General features: G+C 41.7%; 1 protein-coding gene across 20 annotated transcripts in view, besides 2 other annotated features; it reads right to left on the bottom strand.

The window, feature by feature from the left end:
* Positions 1-22,611, bottom strand: part of JARID2 (jumonji and AT-rich interaction domain containing 2) — a 275,974-nt gene that overhangs the window by 35,411 nt on the left and 217,952 nt on the right. For all 20 annotated transcript variants that reach the window (XM_011514579.4, XM_017010833.3, XM_047418735.1 and 17 more), the window contains one exon: positions 17,914-18,090. In XM_011514579.4, the coding sequence (XP_011512881.1) occupies positions 17,914-18,090 (177 nt within the window). The remainder of the gene's footprint in view (positions 1-17,913; positions 18,091-22,611) is intronic.
* Positions 11,996-13,195: an enhancer, noted in NCBI's record as "BRD4-independent group 4 enhancer chr6:15473668-15474867 (GRCh37/hg19 assembly coordinates)". NCBI's record gives its function as "activates an origin of replication core promoter dependent on BRD2, P300/CBP, MED14 and CDK7 cofactors, and independent of BRD4, by STARR-seq in HCT116 cells {active_cell/tissue: HCT116}" and the evidence as "EXISTENCE:reporter gene assay evidence [ECO:0000049][PMID:35650434]".
* Positions 16,959-17,141: a silencer, noted in NCBI's record as "fragment chr6:15469722-15469904 (GRCh37/hg19 assembly coordinates)". NCBI's record gives its function as "represses an EF-1alpha promoter that drives an FKBP-Casp9 reporter gene in an ReSE screen in K562 erythroleukemia cells {active_cell/tissue: K562}" and the evidence as "EXISTENCE:reporter gene assay evidence [ECO:0000049][PMID:32094911]".

Genomic DNA, 22,611 nt, shown 5'->3' with positions numbered 1-22,611 from the left:
TAATAGCTAGTATTTCTTAAGTGCTTCCTATAAGCCAGGGGAACTATGCTAAAGTCCTGAAGTACATTGAGCCTCTGAATCCTCAGAACAACCCTACTGGACAGGACACTTACAGATGGAGGGGGTACGTGCCTGGCACAGGCCATGCCACCTATCCCTGGCACATGAAGTCAGCCTGCCTCCCAAGCCCACCCCATCCACCCCAAACCCCAGGTGGCTACAAGTGAGAATTTCCAGTGAGCATGGTGCTTCCTACCCATGAGGCAGAGACTTCAAAAGAGAACAGGGATGCTTGGGGTTTCTACAGAAAACCAGAAACACCAACGTTATGGGTTTATCCTTCTGCTTTACAGTCCCTCCCCATGGAATAAACGAGACTTTCACATCCATTTCTCTGGAACCCACAGGCCTTGTCTCCCCACAAACAGTCCAAACAGGGCCTGTTTCTTCAGGGAAGGAGGAAGCACACCCTGTTCCTGGGTTGCCTTTAGGCAGATCAGCAAGGGGAAGCTATAGTGATCTTTTAGCCATCATCCTGCCAGAGGGAGTTTTCAAAAGGTTACTGTGTCCACTCATGCATCTGGCACTTGAGCAGCTCCAGGCCATCCCCACCCCAACCAGGACTGGCAGAACTTCAGGTAGAATTCCCTCACCCCCACAGCAGCAGATGAAAGTGAAAATTATTCCTCCTTTGAGTTGTAAATCTCTTCCTATTGGCTTGCAGAAGGGGAAATCAAATCTTTCCTCCTCTAAACATCTTACCTGTCTGTCCTTTCTGAAAACTCCCTTTTCCCCAACATTCAATCTCACATGGAATTTTAAGAGTCCTTTAAATTATATTAATGTCTTATAAATTGCAAATACTGTCCTCTTTTGCCGTTTACTTTTTCATTTGCTGTGGTGCCAAATCTGCTAACAAATTTCTTTGTTTCTTGCTTTCGTGCTTAACCTACCCTTCCGTATATCTTCTCCCAGTTTTATGAAAGTATAACAATTAAAATGGTACGTTTACAGTATGACATGTTTTAATACATGTATAAAGTGATTAATCAAGCTAATTACCACACCCAATCCCCTTATATACTTTTGTGCTAAGAATATGTAAGATAAGCAACTTGAGTATACACTACATTATTAGTGACTAGTCACAAGGCTGTCCAGTAGATCTCCAGATTTTCTCTCTCCCTTCAAACCAACTTTGCATGCACCCTTTCATCAACATTTCTCCATTCCACCACCCATGCTTTCAAACGGTAAAATAATCTTCTAAGTTTCCTTCTAATTGTTTTCTAATTAAACTGCTTGGATTTAATTCTTTAGTCCAATTGTCATGGTATAAGATGGAGATCTCCATTATCCCCATCTGGATTATCGGTTGTGAGCCTTTATCTCAAAGTTCCTTCCAACACCAGTGATTAATAGATTTTAAAATACTGAAGGAAAGACCAGGCCACGTCAAAATATGGGATACAATCCGACGTTGCACAAGATTCTACTGGATACTCTCAGTTAACACAGAAAATGGAGAGTTTCAAATGGCTGGCATTTATTCTAAGTAACTACCCATTGTCAGAAACCATCAATCATGCCCAAGCTGGCAGTATCTGTGCTAGCTTTCAAGACAAATTAAAAGCAACATCCGTAAGAAGTCATACTTCAATGTGATTAAAAATCAAGCCAAGGGAACATGAATCTAGGCAATTCTTGACTGTTCACCAATTTTCTAAAGCAGTGAACACAGCTTATTAAAACATAGGAAGTAGTTGCTTTTTTTTTAATCTCCAATACTCCTCCAAACTTCTCTGTGCTTTTTCCTGCCATTAAGACATGTCTCATGGTGAGGCCTGCTACAAAGAAGCACCAGTTCTATAATTACTTCTCTTTATTCACTTAACAAAATATTACTATATGGGTTTCCCGCCCTTCAAAACATTATCTGCAGCTCATTCCCAGCTCTGTTGTTTGCAGCTGGGCAAGTTATTTAATCATCAGTTTTCCCATCTATAGACTGGGGAATAGCAGATGTTCCGGTAGGTAGAACATCTACCACAATGTCTGGGGTTCAGTAGGTACACAGTATTTGGGAGACACTATCACTGCATGTTTAAAAGGGCCATCTCAGGTTACTGCACAATCAGATTGTGGGCAAATCTCTTTTTGCCTCATATCCCTCCCTGCAGACAGAGTATAAAGAAGGGCTTCAATGCAGACAAACACTGGTCTCAGCAAGACCCAATACAACCTCCTACTCCTCTGGGTCATTAATTTGTCCACACTGACCATGCCTGTTACGTCTCCTACTCATGCCAGACCATGACTGAGAGTCTGTGGACAAAGTCCAGCAGAGCCAGGTGCCTCCTAACACTTGCCAGTATCACTTTCATGGGAAAAAGAGGAGTAGCTAATCACCTGCCTGAGCAAAAAGAAATACAACACTGAAAACACATCCCAATTTTCCACTAGCGACGTATGGTCAGATCAGTGGATCTCAAAGGAGATTTACAGACCCTTCAAGGACCTAGAAACCCTTGCAGGAGATGTGCTAGGGTCGAAACTATTTCATAATAATACAAAGACATTATTTGCCTTTACAATGGATAGACATCTGCACTGATGGCACGAAAAATGGTAGGTTAACTATAAGGGAAATGCAAATCAAAACCATAATGAGATACACCACTTTACATCGACTAGGATGTAAAGTCATATCATAAAGATGGATAATGATGACTGATTGCAAGGATGTGGAGAAACTGTAACCCTCACACACTACTGGCGGAAATGCAAAATGGTTTCTCCTTTTCAGATAGCTCCTCAAAAGGAGAAACGTAGGAGTTCCCATATGACCCACCAATTCCATTTCCAGGAATGTACACAAGGGAAATAAAAAATATGTCCACATAAAAACTTGCACACAAATATTCACAGCAGAATTATTACTAATCGTTAAAAATTGGGGGAAATCACCGAAGATCCAACTGATATTTATTTAGATAAAGTGGTATATCCATACAATGAAGTATTAGCCATAAAAAGGAAATCAAGTATTGATACATGCTACAGTACATTTAATGGGTATATTCTATAATGTGTGAATTTTATCTCAACAAAATATATTTTTAAAATATGGGTGAAATCACGGGTACTTTAGCATAAACAAAGGCAATGGCACCAAACTACTATACACTAGTCTAATATGCATTTCATCCCTACCATGGATTAGTAGCAGTTAAAAAAAAAAAACAGCCAGTTTCACTTAAGAATGACCTTGATAAAGTCATACAAACAGTGAGTATGACTGAATCATGGCCCCTGAGCACACATACTTTGTGTGACAAGATGCTATTACACATAAAGCACTTCTCCTATATACAGAAATACAATGATCATCTCTAGGGAAAAGCACTTGTGTGATTGTGCAAGTTTTGGGCTAGCCCCTTTTTCATAGGATGTTGTTTTTATTTCAAGAAGGACCAACACACTATAGTTCTTCGGACTTAGTTATTTGTAGTTTTTACTTAGTTACTAGATTTTTTTCAAAAATGAACAAAGCAAGCCTGTCTATTCAAGGAAAGTAACTAATAGTCGTTGCTGCCAATGACAGAATTCATGCTTTCAGGCAAAAATTAGAATTTCAGAAAACCAGTATCTGCCATCATGAGTTCGACAGAAATTCTTTGATGATGTACCCTTGTTCATTACCAAAGGTGCTAACAAGAACTCACTGAACCATTATTTTCAAATGAACAACATAGGATGCTACAAAACAGTGCATGGGTTAAAGGTCCATTCAAAGAAAAAGACAAACCAATGGATATTAATGTAACAGTATGAAAAGTTCACTGATACAGGTACAGGTTCCCAGAGCAACTGACCTGTAGGAAACTACCAGTAGAGCCTACTATCCTATCAAGTACTGAAATCATCTACAAAGACCGTTTCCCATGTACATACATATTTATCCAAAGCTGATTTTCTTCATATACATCAACCAAACTATGTACTGCAACACTCAAGAGATGAATACAGAAGCAATCATAATATGGCTGTATCCTACTTAGTAAGACATTAACGGGATTAACAAAAAGGTCAAATAATGTAACTCTTAATAAGTTTTTGGTTTTGGACTATGATTATTTTTCATTAAAAAATGCTATATGTGTTTAACACGTAACTGGTTTGTGTCATTTTTTAAATGAATAAATATCTTAAAGTGTCTTAACTTTTAATTCTAATATGGTAGATATGAGAATTAAAGCTGATATTAATAAATATAATCCACATTAATAAAAGCCTTTTGGGGTCCCTCAATAACTTCTAAAAGTAGAAAGGGGTCTGGAATTCAAAATGCCTGAAACCCTGGGGCCAGATCATCTGTTCCATTACTCCTTACATGATGATTTCAAGAAGCTTGATGTGTCACATAAAAACTGACAGGAGTCACCTGTTCGGTGATAAATCACTTGGCAGGGCAAGGCCAGTTGCTAAGCTGGGACTTTCACAGACACTTGAAGAGTGTGACTGTGGTTAGTCAGCAGTATCTTTCTTATCTGAAAAAAACAGATCCTTCATTGCAGTATCCGTACCTGAAACCAGATGCACAACTCTTTGATTGTATTTTGAGGTCACAAAACCTACTGCTCAGGAAAATACTATGGACAGCAAAGCGGTGAGTACCAGGATTATAGGAAAGGGGAAACGGAGACGAGAGGGAGGCAGGTGAAATTAACATAGTGAACCATAAACTGGCTGCCCTGAAGACTTCAGCAAGGTACTCTACTAAAGAATATTTTGATGAGATATCTGGAAATGGAAGAGTTTTCAAACATACGGAAATTAAAAACTGAATCAAATTAACTTTCATTTGCAAACAAAGAGAAGGTTTCCAACCAAACCCACTTTTTGTAACCATCATGCTGTTTTAGAGCAGCGATATACCCAAATGGCAAACATAGCCAGAAAGTCAAATCATGTGTTAAACGGGAAGTAAAGGGGGCAGGGGGAGGACTGGGCAACACCGACAGAGCCAAAGACAAGGTATATTTTGTACTCAACAGCTCATTAATTTTAAGTGTCGTGGGAACCTGCCAGTTTTACTCCTCCAAGTAATTATCTTTTGTCTTAATTTGTAAGATTTGAGAAAGGGAGAGAAGAGGAAAGGAAAAAAAATATTCACTCTCACAGGGAAAGATTAAACCCTGTGAACATAAGAGAGAGAAAGACAGAAAGTTCAATGTATAGAAGTCCTCCACACACTGTCCCCAATTAAAAGAAATAATTGGACTAGTTTCTTTAAGGAGAGAAAAAAAGCATTCATCACTGTGAACCATATTAGGAAATTGTATTGTACTCAGATACAAATAGCTTTACATTAACGAACAGAGACAAATATATTGATTTGTATACACATACTCTGAAAGTTAAACGGCCTATAGAAAAGTGTTTTCACACCACGGCAGGCAAAATCTTTAAATCCAAAGGCTATTATTTTGATTTAGGGTCACCTCATCCCTGAGAAGGTAAGATTTGCTCCCAATGAGGGATGAAAAAGATATGGGCAAAAGAAGTTACTTTAGAAACATATTTAATAGCAATCCTGTAACAATTTGAAAGGCAGAGAGATACACTTTCCTAGGGGAATTCACAACTATACCTCCAGGGAGCTTGTCCTAAACAATGTTCCCCAAAAGCTTTGTTCGCATATTTAGATGCTGACACAAGTTTCCTGGAAGAGACCCTCAAGGAAGGCAGCCCTATGAGAAACTGATCGCAAGGTTTTTAATACCCTCACTCCATGCACAGACTCTTGATTTTGATGTCTAGTTCTGCTCACCAACCCCGTTTGGGCCTCAATTCCCTGAACTACAGACCAGCTGGCTGCTTCCTCTTATCCGCCCTCCAGGACTTGCTGAAGTATTTTGAATAAAGTATATAAGTGCTTTGCGTTCTTCAGAGAAAGGAGTTGCGCAAATATAAGAAGAATGATCTTTTCGAAAGCTCTTGCTGCAATGGCAAAGATCCACATGTGAAAAATATAATTTTTAGAGAAAGCTGACAAAGCTGGCCTTCTACTTTTACCTGTCTCCAAGCGCCTCCCAGAACCAGACGCCCCTATCTTGCCAATTACCCATGCTAATAAAGGCACCTCATCCAAACACAAGAGGGAATCCTGATGTGTATTATTAGATTATTAGATGTGTATGAAACAGGAGTCCTTACTTGGCATCCAGCAAAAGTTATAAGATATCCTGGAATTATGCAGTGTATGACCTGAAATAATACAGTTCAGAAGGCCTAACCTCCTTGAAAGAGAAAAATCCAGACAAGGACCATTACAGAAAGTCAGCCGAAACATCTGCTAGCAAGGCAACAAAGGAAAAGAAGACCCTGAAGATGGGACCGAACTAACCCCCAAATTAAAATACCTTCTTCCTGTCCACACCCCAAAACAAACGAAAGGGGCAAAAAAAAGAATCACTGTAAATAAAGAAGAAATGTGTTAAGCAAGGGAAAAGAGATCCACCGCAAGTTTCTGATCTCAAGCCAGATATTTAAATGTACGCTTCATGTCATTACAAGGCATCCCTTCCTTGGGCAAGACACAGACTCCGTCAATTGGCTGGCATTAAATCCCTGTTACTGTACAAAAGCCACACTTGCTCCCTGGAGCCAGTTCAACTTTGAGTCACTATTGTCTGAAAACAATGGAATGTCTGCCAACCTGTGCCAACAGTTCAAATGGATTTTAATGTAGCATGTGTGAGTGCTGTAACCCGGTTTGCCCTGGGCCAAAACAGCTCCACCATCCACGTGTAAAACTAGGGAAAGCTGCAAGAACACAGCTTAGGTGAGCAAAACCCCCATTATCACCTTGCATCCAGCCAGCAGCTCACTCGCACAGGGAACAAACGTCAACCTGGGATGCTGCCTCTGTACTCCGAAACTCCAGTATCATAAGCAAATTCTACTGGTTTACAGGCTTTGTAAAACGCTTCTGGAACTTTCACACAATGAAATCTCTTTCACTTTGATCACAATTATAACAGATATCTGGAAATAGAATGTTTAAAGCCAATCACATCTTCTTCCTTTTCTATAGAAGAACTTAAATTCTGTAATATTTTTCCCACCAATTACCACTTGGTTGCCACTCTCATCATGATCTCCAAGTGTGAATGCATTATGTGCAATGATAAAATAACAGACTTGGATATATCTGCCCTTTACACAAATTTCTTACATATATTCCTGCTAACATACGACACTAAAATTAAAAGACTTTTATGAGAATATAAAGGTCAGGACAACAGAAAGACCATAAATCAGGATGAATGGTTTTTGTCATTGAAAAATGGCTTCTTGGCCCTCTTGGCCCCCAAAAGTGCTGAGGAAAGGATGGCAGACCTGATGATTACTAGCCCCGCGGCCTGTGTGGGCATCAGTCACTCTAAAATGTTTGCGTTAATGGTAAGGGAGGAACAGCTGGACAAATGGCCTTACGGGGCAACAGGCAGTTGGTCTGCAAGGCTCTCGTGCTTTATCACTGGCAAGAATCAAGGCAAGAGCACAGAACTGCAGGTTACACTCAGAAAAGGATGGCGTTAACTCGTAAAGAACACACGAATAAAATGTTTCTGCAGTTTTGGGTTTCATAAAACCCTAAATCCGGCCGGGCACGGTGGCTCACACCTGTAATCTCAACACTTTGGGAAGCCGAGGCAGGCGGATCACCTGAGCTCGGGAGAGCATCCTGGCCAACACAGTAAAAACCCCATCTCTACTAAAAGTAGAAAAATTAGCCGGGCATGGTGGCGGGCACCTGTAATCCCAGCTACTCAGGAGGCTGAGGCAGGAGAATCGCTTGAACCCGGGAGGTGGAGACTGCAGTGAGCCGAGATCGCGCCATTGCACTCCAGCCTAGGTGACAAGAGTGAGACTCCATCTCAAAACAAAACAAAAAACCTAAATTCCAAAAATAATGATTTAAAACAGGCCAACCACATCTGAAGTCAGTGATAAGAGTTCTGGCTCACCTTTGGATTTGAGTAAGGAATTTGTAAACTGTTTACTACACACCGAGAGAGAAACACCCTTAAATATGCACATGCGAGTTAGACCAGAACGCATCCCATTGACACAATTGACTATACAAGTTATAGGCAACTTGGTCATTTTCAAAGTAAAAACATTAGCACGAAAAAACTAAATACAGTCGGCCCTCTCTATCTGTGGGTTCTGCATCCATACCTGAGAGTAGTGACCCCACCCTCACATATCCTCCCCCACAACCCCAAGCAGCATTGCGAGTCAGGTATTAGTAATATAATTTTACAAAGGAGGAAAACTAAAGCTTAAAGAGGCTAAATAATCTTTTTAGCCCTGACACCAGGCTAAAAAGAGGGATCAGAGCCAGGAGCTTCTCTTCCACCACCAGATACACCATCTTCTAGCTGCCTGTCACAGAAAGAGTTACGAAGGTAACAACACCAAACTCATGGGGCATGGGCCAACTATCCCGAAGTGTGTGCCTATATCCCCCACTAAGGCCCTACGAGGCCAGTGGAACAAATAAATACTTTAGCAAAGCAAGAAGAAACAGGGAAAGGATGATAATCCTGACACAGGAATTACCAAGACCTTCTACCACACTGAAACAGCCCACAACATAGTTCTGGCGAGGCTGATGATGTCACAACACTCAAGGGTAATGGCTGACTCTTTGACAGTCCTCATCGTGCCCCAGGCATTTGAGATACATAAACTTTCTCGAGTTTTCCTAGCAATTATAAGGTTGTTCCAGGCACCAGATCTTTTCAATCACATTATGTTAATGATAATATGCAACACAGCAGTTTCTAACATTAACTGTTGTAACATGTATCAATTCATTTAGTTATTGCCAAAACCTATGATCTCTTCTTCAGAGATAAGAAAACTAAAACAGAAAAATCCTAAGGTTGCAGCCATAAGTGTGTCAGTGCTGTAATCATGATGCTCTGAACCATCCTACCCAACGGCCTCTAAGGAACACCGCCCCAAATGCGTAAAGGGGGTGGTTAGAAACATACATTGTATAACTGGTCTCTCTACATGTATTACAGCTCTTAAAAAAAAAAAAAAAAAAAAACCAACACTCCCATCCCATATTCCAACTTTTTGGAATAGTCACTTGTCTCAACAGGAAAAATGGAGCTACCAGAGGTTAAAAAGAGGTAAAGAGAATATCACATGTTCTCTCGGGGGCGGGGAGGCGGCATTTGTCTGTTACAGAGTGTCTGTCCCCACTGAACATAGCAGGGCTATGGCAAGCTCCTGACCCTGATGCATGACCGACACCCCAACACCCCACCGCCCAGACAAAGAGAGGGCTCAATGCCCCTCAAAGGCAACCACAGAGCAGAAATGTGATAAACTCGTCCAAATGATTGCTTTTTGGCCCTTACACAACATGCCCCCGGTATGAATCTAAAAGCAATTAAGTCATTCCAGCTGGGAGTCCAATGACATGCTGTTTAAAAAGTCTTCTGAGAAACATCCCTCTTCAGAAAACGATATGCACAAAAGAAACAACAGCCACTCTTCTTCCTTCCGTTTTTAAGTTATAAAAAGCATTTAAAAGATACACATGCAGCTGACCTAGCAACAAGCCTTCACCAAGGTCTCCTCCTCAAAGCACTCAAAAAGCCAAGGTAAACTCATTCCAAAGGCATTTATTAATTCCTCTAGTCTACCTCACTTACCCCCTGGAAAAAATAACCAATTATGAGAGCTTAAGAAAAATCTAGGCATCTCAAATATCAACTTGTAATATAAATACCCATGAAGCAGTGTTCTGATTGTGTTATTTGGTTTCCAAATAGTCATTACCTAAGGGCTCCATTTTTAGAATCATTTGAGATTCTGTATATGGAAGAGTATTTTGGAAACTCTGATGTGCTATTGAAATAGAAGTTGCTGGAAGCATTGTTATTGTAACCCTTGAGTGCTAACCCAAGGTTAAAAGCTCATGTGATGCTGTCCAAATCATTTCAGATTATATATTTTAATAAATCCATTTCCATTAGGATGTTCAGTGGATTACAAATGAGCACATTAGAGTCCTGTGTAATGTTTGCAAAACAAAACATCTGCCTGGGGACAGCAGGCTCTTGCAGGAAACTACTGGCATCAGGACTCCTGCTCGGAGGAAGAAGGGTACAGTCTCAGGCCCATGTGGAAGCTGATGGCAGGACACTGTGGATGGTGTGTGTGTCCTCTCCTGCCACCTCTGCCATGAGGCCAGAGGTCCCGGCTCCATGACCAGAGCCACTCTGCTCTTTTGTGGAGAAACAAGATGAAACAGGACACCCCTGGCAGTCTGGGTTCTAGGTTCTTCAGCTAGCTGCTGAAATAAAGCTGTTCTCCTTGAAATGTGGCCTAATTAAAATATTGGCCAAACCCACCCCAGTGGTAAAGCATCAGTTTTCCATACTTTTGTTTTCTGTGTGTTTATCTCCCCACATTTCAGCAGGGGTGATCCCTCTGGGGAGGATACAGATGTTGCTAGATTTCCTGACACGCCTCAACAGCTCGAGCATACAAAATAGGGAAAAGCACAAATCTGATAAGAGAAATACCCTGTAATGGAAAAGTCACAAAACAACCAGCTTGCTCTCCCCTTTCGCTTGTGAAAGATTAACAATTCTGAGCAGTTGCTTGAATACACAATCGTGATGCCCTCACCCAGGTTCTCCCTGCAAGAAAACCTATTTTAAGACCTGTGCCTTCTTCACCCAAGTCAGAAACCAAAAGGACACGAAGATCATCTGCCTCTATATTTGAATGTTTTCAAAAAATGAGGGAGTAAAACTGAGGTGTGAGGAGGGAAGACTGAGCTCTCACCTTCTTAACTAACTATATCCAAACCGTTCTTTCCATGCAGCCAGAGAACTTATTTTCATCTAAAAGCACAGCTCGTGTTTTGCTTCTATTCACCAAGGCACTCCAAAATCAGGGAACAGGGGTAAGGGCAGAGCATCACAGCTTCCTGAGGTCGCAGGTGCAGCACGGCCTGGCTCAGGTGCCTTGTCTCATGGCACAATGTGGGGCTAGTGGGTTTATGTTGAAGAACAGGTGGTAGGCGATTATGCAAGAGAAAATGCTAGTTGCACGGCGAAGCGAGGACCTGGGCCTCCCTGGCAGTTCCACAGCACCTGATGTGGCCTGAGATGTGGTGCTCTCCAGGACTCTTTCCTCTGTCTGCAGTTCAGAAGAGGCCTTCTTCAGGTTCAGAAAATTGCTAACCTCTTTTCTGACAGCACCTGCACCTGCAGAGCTCCAAGCTTCATTAGATTTGCAAGGCACTGGTGCCTGATTGCCTTTTTATTGCAAGGAACCCTCTATAGGAAGATCTGTTTCATTTTATATTATGTCACATTTAAATAAATACTCCCTTTGATGACTGATGGATACTCATAATGAAATCCCATTATAAGAAATTTCTAGGAATTCCGCTCTAAACTTACAGAGAAATGGACCTCAGTGAAATTTTGCAGGAAAGAACTTTTAGCTGCCATGGGAACTGTTGCCAACATTTGATCTGTATTTATTACACATGAAAACAAAGCTCTAGGTGATCCCAGCAGTCTGACCACTTGGAGGATTCTTGTGTAAACGACTGGTGTCAACCGGGATTATTACTGACTTTCAGCAACTCAGCCTTTGCTTGGAGGATGCAACAGTACACCAGTTTTCCTAAGGGTTATAAAAGAATGAAGAAAACAAAGTATAGATAGCAATGTAAATGGGGTTGAAGACACGGTGGGATATAAAAGTTTTAATCTGGACAAGTCACTATTATCTCAGGGAAAGAAGAATGGATTACAGGGACAAAATTTTAGTTGGGAACCTTCACCCAGCTGAATAGTGATCTTGGAAATGTCATTTTCCTTGAACATATAACAATGGCTGGCATCCACCATTAGAGATCTGAATGGCTCTACTGCTGCCCATGATACAGCCTCATTGTTTCCTTATGCTGGGATATAAATGAATCAATGACTGGACAAATTAATGCTAATCTACTCTATCATGCTGATTTCACAGAAGTAGAAATTAAGAATCAGAGAAGCTAAGTAAATACCTTGCCCAAGAACACACAAGCTAACGAGTAGCTAAAAAAAAAAAAAAAAAGGCATGCAACTAAGTTCCTGATGACTGTTCGATGGTGGCAAAGACATTCCTAAGAAATGAACAGACAAAAATGACAACAAATATGCATATTGAGCAACATGGCATTACAGTGTAATTTTAATCATCTAGAAATGGTTGAGGAAGTAGCAATGTTGGGCATGAGAATATTCCACAGCTGAGAATATTTAATTTTGAAAGACTGCTACACTTAGGTTTTTATCAATTTTGGATGAGATGATCAATAATTTCCTTCTCTACTGTTGAAAATAGTAACTTCAGAAATACTCTTAGGTTCAATTAGCACCTCTTGCCTGAGGGATTACTCCCAATATCACAAGTGTTTCCTTTAATAAACTGACGTCAGTTTGTTTCCTTGTCATCTGCCTTGATATAAAAGCGGATGTGAAATAGACTGGGGAAGGCAGCACAGCTAGCCAGCTACTGAGAGCTCAGTGTTCTTCTACAGTACTGCCTGAACCTGAGGCTGACATTAGCTTTCTTCAAAGCTGACTTTGGTTTCACGAAACCACCATGTTCCCCCGGGTCATTTGAAATCGGAGGAGCATTCCAAGTGGCCTGTATATTACTAAGCTGGCTTTATTCCATTCCCTCCACTGGCGTCATAAGGAAGCACTGACATCCTGTGGATTGTTACTCTTTGGCTTCCAAGGCCATTCAAGCCATGTGGCAACAGCAGGAAGGACTCTGCAGAGACCTATATCCCAGGTAGTGGCTTGTGGGGATTTTTTCTTTTCATATGACTTCACAAAAGACTTGGTACTCGGATGCCTACAAAGGGACAACAAATACATAAAACCCATAAATATACACAAAAACTACAAAATGTCTTAATGGAGCCCCAACGATCACACCACCCCCCTCTTAAGGACCTTGGTATATGGGTGTGAGGTGGGTGGCAGGACACAAAGCGGGGGGGGGGGGGGGGCACGCACATCAGAAGACAAGGGAGACAAGTCACCCAGGTAGCATCACCAAGTGACAGGGAATGACAAAGATGAATGAGACACTGAAACCTGTTTCATCAGGAGAAACACACGTAAAGACCTGAATGTCTTCTGACGTTTCTGACAGATGTGCCAGGAGACATCATCTCCCATTAGCTCCTTGTGGGTAGATCCTATTGCCGTGTTCATCTGTGCTATCTTTCAGAGCGCTTACGTCAGCACAGGGGCTTACATTTTTCTCATTTATACAGAAGTTAATCTTATTTGATTTAGGAGAGAAAAGGTAACTCCATAAATGGTTAATATCATTCACCACTGTTAACATGGCAAAGATTCTATGATTATGTTTCAGCACTTATCACAATAAAATGAGTTTGAGCTCTCTCCAAATCCTCCACAAATACAGCAATTTCGGGAACATGTAAATATGAAATCTTTCCTAACACGGGTATTCACATTTGCTAAAAACTCACAAATTCTGTAGGAAAAATTCTAGTGGAGTTGGTTTCGTGCTTGTCTCTTTGACTTGCACAGGAAATGGAATTTTTCTGACCAGGTTAAGATCTAAAAAATGCCCAGGCATAGCAATAGAAAGAAAACCTCAGACTAAATAAGATTCAAACTTCCCTATGACGCTGCTGAAGAGCAATGAATTAAATTGCAGAGGGACATGCCCAGGAAGTGAGTGCCTGCTCAGGAACGGGCAGGCCTAACACAGACTGAACAGGGAAATGGCTGGTGACTCTGGACAACAGAATGGGACAGCAAGAAGGACTGCAGTCTGGACAGATCTAAATACAGGTCTCTTGGGCCTGCAACAATCCCCCCACCAAACTTCCCCTGAAGTTCAGGTGCAGGCAAACAGACTGCACAGCCCCATGGCTTCTCCCAAGATGGTAGTTCTGGGACTCTGCTGGGTTGAAATCAAAGAAAACCCATTCACAATTCAAATACGACATAATCAAAATGGTAGACACTTGGAGGTTGGGGGCAGGCCTAATCACAGATGACATCAATCTAATTAAAATTATAAGCCAGCTGCTCAGGGATGTGAGAAAGGCCTTTCAGTTTGGTTATCTACAAGTCTCAGAAAAGGAAGCACAGAAAGGTTTGTACATTTCAGTGAAGTTAGTCCCCTTACTAAGCTCAGCTGGTTTGGGTATGCTTCCTGCAGCTCCTCTATCTGATGCTGTGACTCTATTGTAAAAGAAAGGATGACAGAAGAGACAGGGCGGAAGAGGGACAGCAAGGAGGGCAAGGGCACAACTCAGAAACAGCAGTAGGAGGTGGGTGTGTCGGTGCTTACCCAAGACCACTCATTCCACCTAGTCTTCCCAGCCTGGAGCCAGGATTCACACTATCCTACCAGCCCCTCACCGAGAGACATCAAAATTCATGAGGGGACAAAAAAATCCCAACACTGTTCCTGGAAATATCTGAATTAACAGGCATTAAATTTTTAATTTTAAAATTAAAAAAATTTTTAAATAAAATTTTAAATTTTAAACAATAAAAAATGAAAAAGTAGAATCTCCTAAGATTTTTGAAACTCAGAAGTTCATCTGTGTAAATGCACAGAGATATGTATCTATAGATAGTTACACTTTCCTTGACTCCTAGTGGCAATGACAGTGGTCAATGTAGAATCATTATGCCCTCCTTTAGGTGAGAGCTCAGCCTATCCCTTCACCCTCATTCCATCCCCTTCTTTCATATGCTCCATGTAACATGCTGCCAGATAGTCACTGCCCCTGCACATACCTAAGATCCATGCAGATGATGATTCTTAACATTAAAAACTGAATCCATGAGAAAAATCAGCATGTGAATCCAATGTCTCTAAATCAAGCTCAAACACTCTGGAAAACAAAGGAGTTAGCAACCCCAGTACAACTGCACTAGTATACATGGGATTAACTCAACTGATCAAGACGTCAGATAAATTCACCTGCCCAATCAGCATAAAAGGGTGAAAAACAACTTATGAAAAGGACCCAATCCGATACTACACTGATGAAACAGATTTCTATCATACAGCCATGCAGAAGACAACAGATGAGGGTAATTCCATGTTTTGTTCATATTTCTTCACTCTTCAATCTCTATTAAACCAAAAAGAAACCTAGAAAATTAAATTCCTTCACAAGAAAAAGTTCTCCAGAGGTTTCCTTTCTATCCATATTATATTTCAAAAACTTTACTTATTCAGGAGGCTTCAAGCAGCAGCTCCAAAATGATAAATTCCTGGTGTATTCTCAATAATTCGGTTGTCTCTCACCATCAACACAAACTCAAAAGATTATAAAGTTATTACCTTTCCACAAATCAACCCATTCCTAATTCCTATTCAATTACCTTCACCCCCGCCTCTGCAGGCCCCTGGGAAAAGCTATGCCACTGTAGCTTCTCAAGTTCAGGTTCACATCAGCTGTTGCCTGGATGGAACTCTCTGAATACAATAATTTTTTCCTTTATTTCAGACTAGTCTGCTACCAAAGGAATCGTTCAGAACTTGACGCATTTCCTCTTACTCCCACATCTAAAATCATCAACAGGTTCCTATTCTGTTATTAGAATTCTTTCTCGTGCCCAGGTCTTTCCAGGTCACCAAACAGTAGACCTCCACACTGGTGGAACAACAGGCAACAGTCCCAAAAACAGGCATTATTCCGCATCGCTCTGTTTGCGATGTTCTTCCTCCTTAGAAATTACATCCGTACACTAATACCTGCATTCCAATTCACATATGCAGCTCTCTTCCAACCACCCAGATGCCCTGATGACCACAGCTGCAGGTAACAACCTTTTCCCGAAAGGTTAAAATGTAGTTACATTTTGTATTTACCCCATCTCCCCAATTAAACCACAAGAACCTAAAAAGAGATTGCACCCTCTACTATGCAGATGTGTCACCTAAACACAATCAAAAGCAAGAGGCAAGCCAGATGAACAATTATTAAGTGGACAGAGCAGAAATGCCCAACAACAATGAAAGCTAGACAGAGATTTCAATCATGTCTAAGCTATGCTTGTCCTGAGCCTCTATTTCCCGGTGAATCCAGAAAGGCAAATGGTAGCTCAGTGCATAGGCACCAAGGAGAAAAATGAGCAGCTCTCCTTTGCCTCAATCACTTACAGACAGCACTGATTTTCCGCCATTTGTAGACAAGGCTTCTTTATCTTACAGGGTCTCAGTGGGTCCTAAGTAAAGTATGTCTAGTGGAGTAGCTGATAGGAGGACAACAGAAAACAGCCATATCTCCTGACTCCCATTCTCTTTGCTTCCCTCCTCTTTCTTTCCTACTTTTTTTTTTTTTTTGAGACAGAGTCTCGCTCTGTCGCCCAAGCTGGAGTGCAGTGGCACGATCTCTGCTCACTGCAACCTCCGCCTCCCGGGTTCACGCCATTCTCCTGCCTCAGCCTCTCGAGTAGCTGGGACTACAGCAGCACACCACCATGCCCGGCTAATTTATGTATTTTTAGTAGAGACGGGGTTTCACCATGTTGGCCAGGATGGTCTTGATCTCTTGACCTCGTGATCTGCCCACCTCAGCCTCCCAAAGTCCTGGGATTACAGGTGTGAGCCACCTCGCCCAGCCTCTTTCCTCTTTTCTTACTCTCATTCCCCCACTCAGTGCAATTCCAATTGGTTCAGGACTACCTCTGTGCTGCCTCTGAAATCACTCCTTTTTATACCTATTCTACATCTTCCAATGTCTACTGGACAACCTTCGGTCAGGGAATTGCCTACAATTACAACCTCGCTGTGCATTTCCCCTTCAAGTTATTTCCCTTTAAGAAGTCCTCATCATCGATGCCGGCTTCATGTTTTCAGGGCACAACTCCATTTAAGTCACTTCTCTATTGAAAAACCACTAGGCGGCTGGGCGTGGTGGCTCATGTCTGTAATACGTGGGGGCCTGTAGTCCCAGCTACTCAGGAGGATGAGGCAGGATAATGGCGTGAACCCGGGAGGTAGAGCTGGCAGTGAGCCGAGATCGCGCCACTGCACTCCAGCCTGGGCGACAGAGCGAGACTCCGTCACAAAAGAAAGAAAGGAAAGAAAGGAAAAGCGGAGAAGCGGAGAGGGGGAGAGGGGGAAAGGGGGAGAGGGGGAGAGGGGGAGAAGGGGAGGAGAGAGAGAGAGAGAGAGAGACAGGAGAGAGAGAGAGAGAGACAGAGAGAGAGAGACAGAGACAGAGAGACAGAGACAGAGAGACAGAGAGACAGAGAGAAAAGACCACTAGGCACTTTCTATAGCCAACTTATCCACATAAGATGAGTTTCTTTGCTGTGATACTCAAGCTATTGTTCCTGCCTTTTATCCTCCTCCTCCACACTATACACGCAAGGGGAAAATCAGTCCACTTCAGAATGTATGTGCAATTCCATAGGAGGAATGATAATTTTCTTCCTATACCATATCCACCTGCTAAAATCACATTAGTAATTAAAGGGGGGCACAGATGTTGTTTCACCAAATCTTCTTGACCATCCCCATGTAGATCTGGTCTTTTCCTGTTCTGATGCCTGTTTATCTACAGCTCTTATAGAATTTACCATCATCTCCACATCATCAGAGTATCTGCACTCACCTAGAACACCCTGGACTACACTAAGCTACACTAATAATCCCTTTGCCCATGAAGTGTCTGGCCCTGGAGAAGTACCCAGAACGAGCTTTGCCTTCATCTCATCTCTTCTCAGCAGAGGCTCTCTTCCAGCTCTCACCCAAAGCTTTAGATTTTTTCTTATCCAAGTTCAACGGTGGACCTACCATGCCCGTTGTGAACATGTTTGTGGGTTTTTCCTTTCCTGGGGGTCGACTGGCATGAAGATGAAGCATTGTTGGTGGCTGTTTTGACGTCTTCTGTCTCATCATCTTCCTCCTCGACTTCCTCCTCATCCTGAGAGCTTCCAAAATACACCATGCTGTTGGGCAGCGCAGGAGAACCTGGTGGAATAAGAAAAACAGCTCATAAACACAGGCCTTGACCCTCACCCTTTCCAGAAGGAACACCACAATGAAACAAAACCGAGGAGAAAAAACAAAGCAACTGATCTCTACTGCCATTTTAAATTTATTTTTCAAATGCTCCCAAGATCATCTGTGCCTTTTGAACGTATTTCAAGCAAAATCCCCCAGCAGGAAGAAGATGCAAAATAGAACAAATAAGGATTTTTAAAATCTCATCTGAATATCTCTTGAGAAAAAAAACAAACACCTCCAAGGATGGAACAAAAAAATAATAAAATAAAAACACCTACCCACTGCTGAGGAAGAGAGATTACTCTAAATTAATAGACTTAAAAAAAAAAAAAAAAAGACAGAGAAGACAGAAGTAAAAACAGAATATAACATTTCATTATATAAAATCACTGTGTTGTATTCATAAGGAATATTCATTCCTTATGGTGGATATGAATTCCCCAAATTCCAATAGTTTTGGAAGTTACTTTGATGTCCTGATTAGGTTAACTGGATGCAAAAATCACCCAAATAAATTCCCACGCTGCACTAAGTAAAAGTGCTGAATTTGAAATAAAAAATAAAGAAATAAACCTCCCAACGGGGGAACCGATCTCCTCACCTTTACCCTTTTACATCTTAACCTCTCATCCTCAAAGGTTCTCATTCCGGATTTTAAAGTAACAAAAAAATAAGCTCAATATCATTATTTTTCTAGAAAGGGTCTCACTCTGTTGCCCAAGCTGAGTGCAGTGGCGCGATCACAGCTCACTGCACCCTTTACTGGGCCAAGCAATCCTGTAGCTGGAGCTACAGGTGCGCACCACCACACCCAGCTAATTTTTTGTGGGGAGATGGAGTCTTGCTATGTTGCCCAGGTTGGTCTGAAATTTCTGGACTCAAGCAATCCTCCTGCCTTGGCCTCCCAAAGTGCTGGGACTGCAGGCATGAGCCCCCATGCCCACCCTTAGGCTCAATATTCTTAAAAAAAAAAAAAAAAGCACAATATAGTTCCTCTTTATCAAACAAAGGCAATTCAGGAAATACAATCAAGTCATTTGTACGTTGTTTGGAACCAGAGGCTTCTAAAACACAAACAAAATCCCCTTCAGTCTAATAGTAAAAGAACTAGTAAATACAAAATTCATGTCTTCTCTTGCCTGCCTATGAATGAGCTAAAAACACTCCAGTAACATCACCGAAGAGATAGATCACCAATTCACTCTCCTACCTAAATAGAGATCTCAAAGATCTCAAGGTTTAAACACACAGTTAAAACCATTTCTGTCCAGCTTCGGAACTATATATGCTCAGTGACAAGGAAATGGAAAATGAGCAGTATCAGGAGCTGAGATGGCAAACCAAGCACCCATCTCCCCAAAATGCAAAGACTATGTGGGACCTTCAACCCCTTCCTTTTCCTACAGGCATCTTCATGACCTATCAATGTTCAAAAACCCCCCAAATTATGTGAACCACATTACTGAGTGGATATGCAACTGCAAAGGGATACAGTCGGCAAAAAGACCCTCTGTAGACAGAAGATTTCAACTTGGTCTTACAAAAGCCATTTTGATGTTTTGTTCCCCTCCCCTTGATTGTCTCCATTTAGAAGTAGATTCTGGACAGAAAGAAGGTTCTTAAACCTGACACAGACTTTGGGGAAAATCAAATAGAAGAGGGAGTAAAATAAACAGTCAGGAGTTAAAAGAGAAAGAGAAAAAAATATCTATCCACATTTCCACTGGACCAAAATATATACTCAATCTAAATGGTTTTACAATTGGTACAAGACTGACAAGGAAAACAGGAGGCTAATTAGCATAGTTTTCAGTACAGTATCACCATTCATGGGTACAGACAGGTTATCTAATCAAATACAACAATGTTGTTGATCCCTCTTCCCTAAATCTACCTTTATAAGTATTTATGAAAAAACAAGAGTAACTACAGCACTCAAAAAATATTCAAATTATTTTACTATCGATCTAACACATGCTGTCAGTCATACCATTAGGAGAGAACTTGTAAGTTTTAGACTCTGCCATTAAATTTCCCTCTTCTAAAAGGAGATGGGATAGGTTAAATAGTTCCTCCCAGATAAAAATATCCATGCTTAATTTCTTTTAAAGAACAACCTTCCTATACTGTATCTTGGAGGCAATGACTAGCAGCTGAAATCCAAACGATGGATTGGTATAAAAACAGCAGGTTCTTGTGTAGATCTTTCTAATAGAAACTTCTGCAGCCAATTCAACCATTTTTCAGAAGGAAACAGGAGAAGCAGGAGGGAAAGCTGTTACAGGCATGTATTTCAAGAGGAGGGCCATCACCCCTCCAGCCTTCCTCTCTCCCCTCTGTTGCAAAGGAAATAAACTCCACAAATGAGGCCATGTGAGAGCAATATAAAAATACAGCAATAAGGCTGGGCGTGGTGGCTCACGCCTGTAATCCCAGCACTTTGGGAAGCCAAGGCGGGTGGTGCACCTGAGGTCAGGAGTTCGAGACCAGCCTGGCCAATATGGTGAAACCCCGTCTCTACTAAAAATACAAAAACTAGCTGGGCATGGTGATGCATGTCTGTAATCCCAGCTACTCGGGAGGCTGAGACAGGAGAATCACTTGAACCCGGGAGGCGAAGGTTGCAGTGAGCCGAGATCATGCCACTGCACTCCAGGCTGGGCGACAGAACAAGACTCCGTCTCAAAAAAACAAACAAACAAACAAACAAACAAACAGCAACAAAAAAAATACAGCAGTAAGATCCAATAAAAATATTCTAAGATTCAAAGAGAATCAGGTAAAAATCCATGTGAAGCACATTAGAAATAAGGAATTAACTTCCACTTAACAGGATCTGTTGAGGATTTTTTTAAAAACTCAAACATTAGAGAAGCAGCATGAAGCAAATATCACATTCCTTGCACTCAAGATGTTGAGAGAAAGGGTGAGGATTGAGTTTATGTTAGGGTGAGGATTGAGTTTATGTTGCAAAGAACTAAAATGGAGAAAATATCTAGACGCTCAGTTCAGCATCCAGACTTTGTTGATATCTACAAAGGATAAGATATTGTTTGAGACAAGAAATCACTCTGTCGCCCAGGCTGGAATGCAGTGGTGTGATCATGACTCACTACAGCCTCGACCTCCTGGCCACAAGTGATCCTCCCACCTCAGCCTCCTGTAGCTGGGACTACAGGTGCACACCACCAAACCCAGATAATTTTTTCATTTTTTGTAGGAACGGGATCTCGCTACATTGCCGAGGCTTGTCTCAAACTCCTGACCTCAAGTGATCTTCCCACCTGATCTCCCATAGCACTGGGATTACAGGAGTGAGCCACCATGCCCGGCCCATAGACGATAATTTTTTAACAAAAGCAGAAAACAACCAACATTATGAATGGATTTGTTTTAATGGCTCCTCGGCAAATACGAATATGTGATGTGACCTGCTGGGTGCTGGGAAAGAAAGTGAGGGGCTAAAATGGAAGAAAGATTAGAAATAGAAGACCAGTGAGGAATAAGGGCAATTCTGAGGAACTTGCTCTCAAAGTAAAACCTTATAATAGTAGTAAGTCCCTCTGATGGAACTGGCCCTGAAGTCAGAGGTAAGAAAGAACACAATTTCTTCTACATATGGGGACACAGGAAAAAAGGATTGTTTTCAACCTAGAAGATGATTCTGCTTCTATTCAGGTAATTGGCATGTTGGTCTGGATCTAAAGGTAAAGAATCAACAAAGAAAAATGGGTAATGAAGGATTCGTAAATCAGATGGGGAATCAGGAGGTAATATGTTGAATGGAAGGAAGACTGGGAAAAGGGAAAGTGTAGGAAAGGGATTGAAGCAGAATAAAAATGAACTCCAGGGGAGGAGGTCAGTTAACCACCACCAGAGTACCCTTAGTTCAGAGGTTAAGCTTGTACCCCTTCTTCTCACTGGGGGGTACCCCACAAGGACAACACTGTCTCCCCAAGCCTGGATATGGCCTGACTGTCCTCCTTGGCATCATCCTCCAAGGGCCACGGCCAATCCATCACCCATCCACCAGGGGGAGCACTCATGAACAACTGGCATCTCCCCTAGAAGGAACAGACCTCCAGAATTTGGTCGGGCACCCTCATACCTGTCCATCTCATCAACGTCATAGACAAACAGAAGTAGGTACAAAAGAATAAAGCCAACAGAGTCTAACGCTGCACATGCCATTGCTCTGTCACCACGTGGTTGCTGTAAATCCCTCTAAGAATTCTGCTGGAATGTCCACTTGTAAAATCACAGAGGGGTCAAACTGGCATTCCAGACCCAGAGAAGCCACAGAATTGGTAAAAATGAAGCCAAAGTAGGTTCTTTTTTTCTCCTCGAGACAAATGCAGTAAGATCATCTCTTATTTCATGCCAAAGTAAAAATGGTCACAGCGATAGAAAAGGACTAATATCTAGAAAATAGCTAAATAACAACCTCAAATGCATAAGACACAAAGCATCTAAGAAACTAAAATT

Source organism: Homo sapiens, chromosome 6, assembly GCF_000001405.40.
Source record: "Homo sapiens chromosome 6, GRCh38.p14 Primary Assembly".
Classification (NCBI taxonomy): domain Eukaryota; kingdom Metazoa; phylum Chordata; class Mammalia; order Primates; family Hominidae; genus Homo; species Homo sapiens.
The sequence above is the reverse complement of the archived record's forward strand: the minus strand, read 5'-3'. Positions and strand labels throughout refer to the sequence as shown.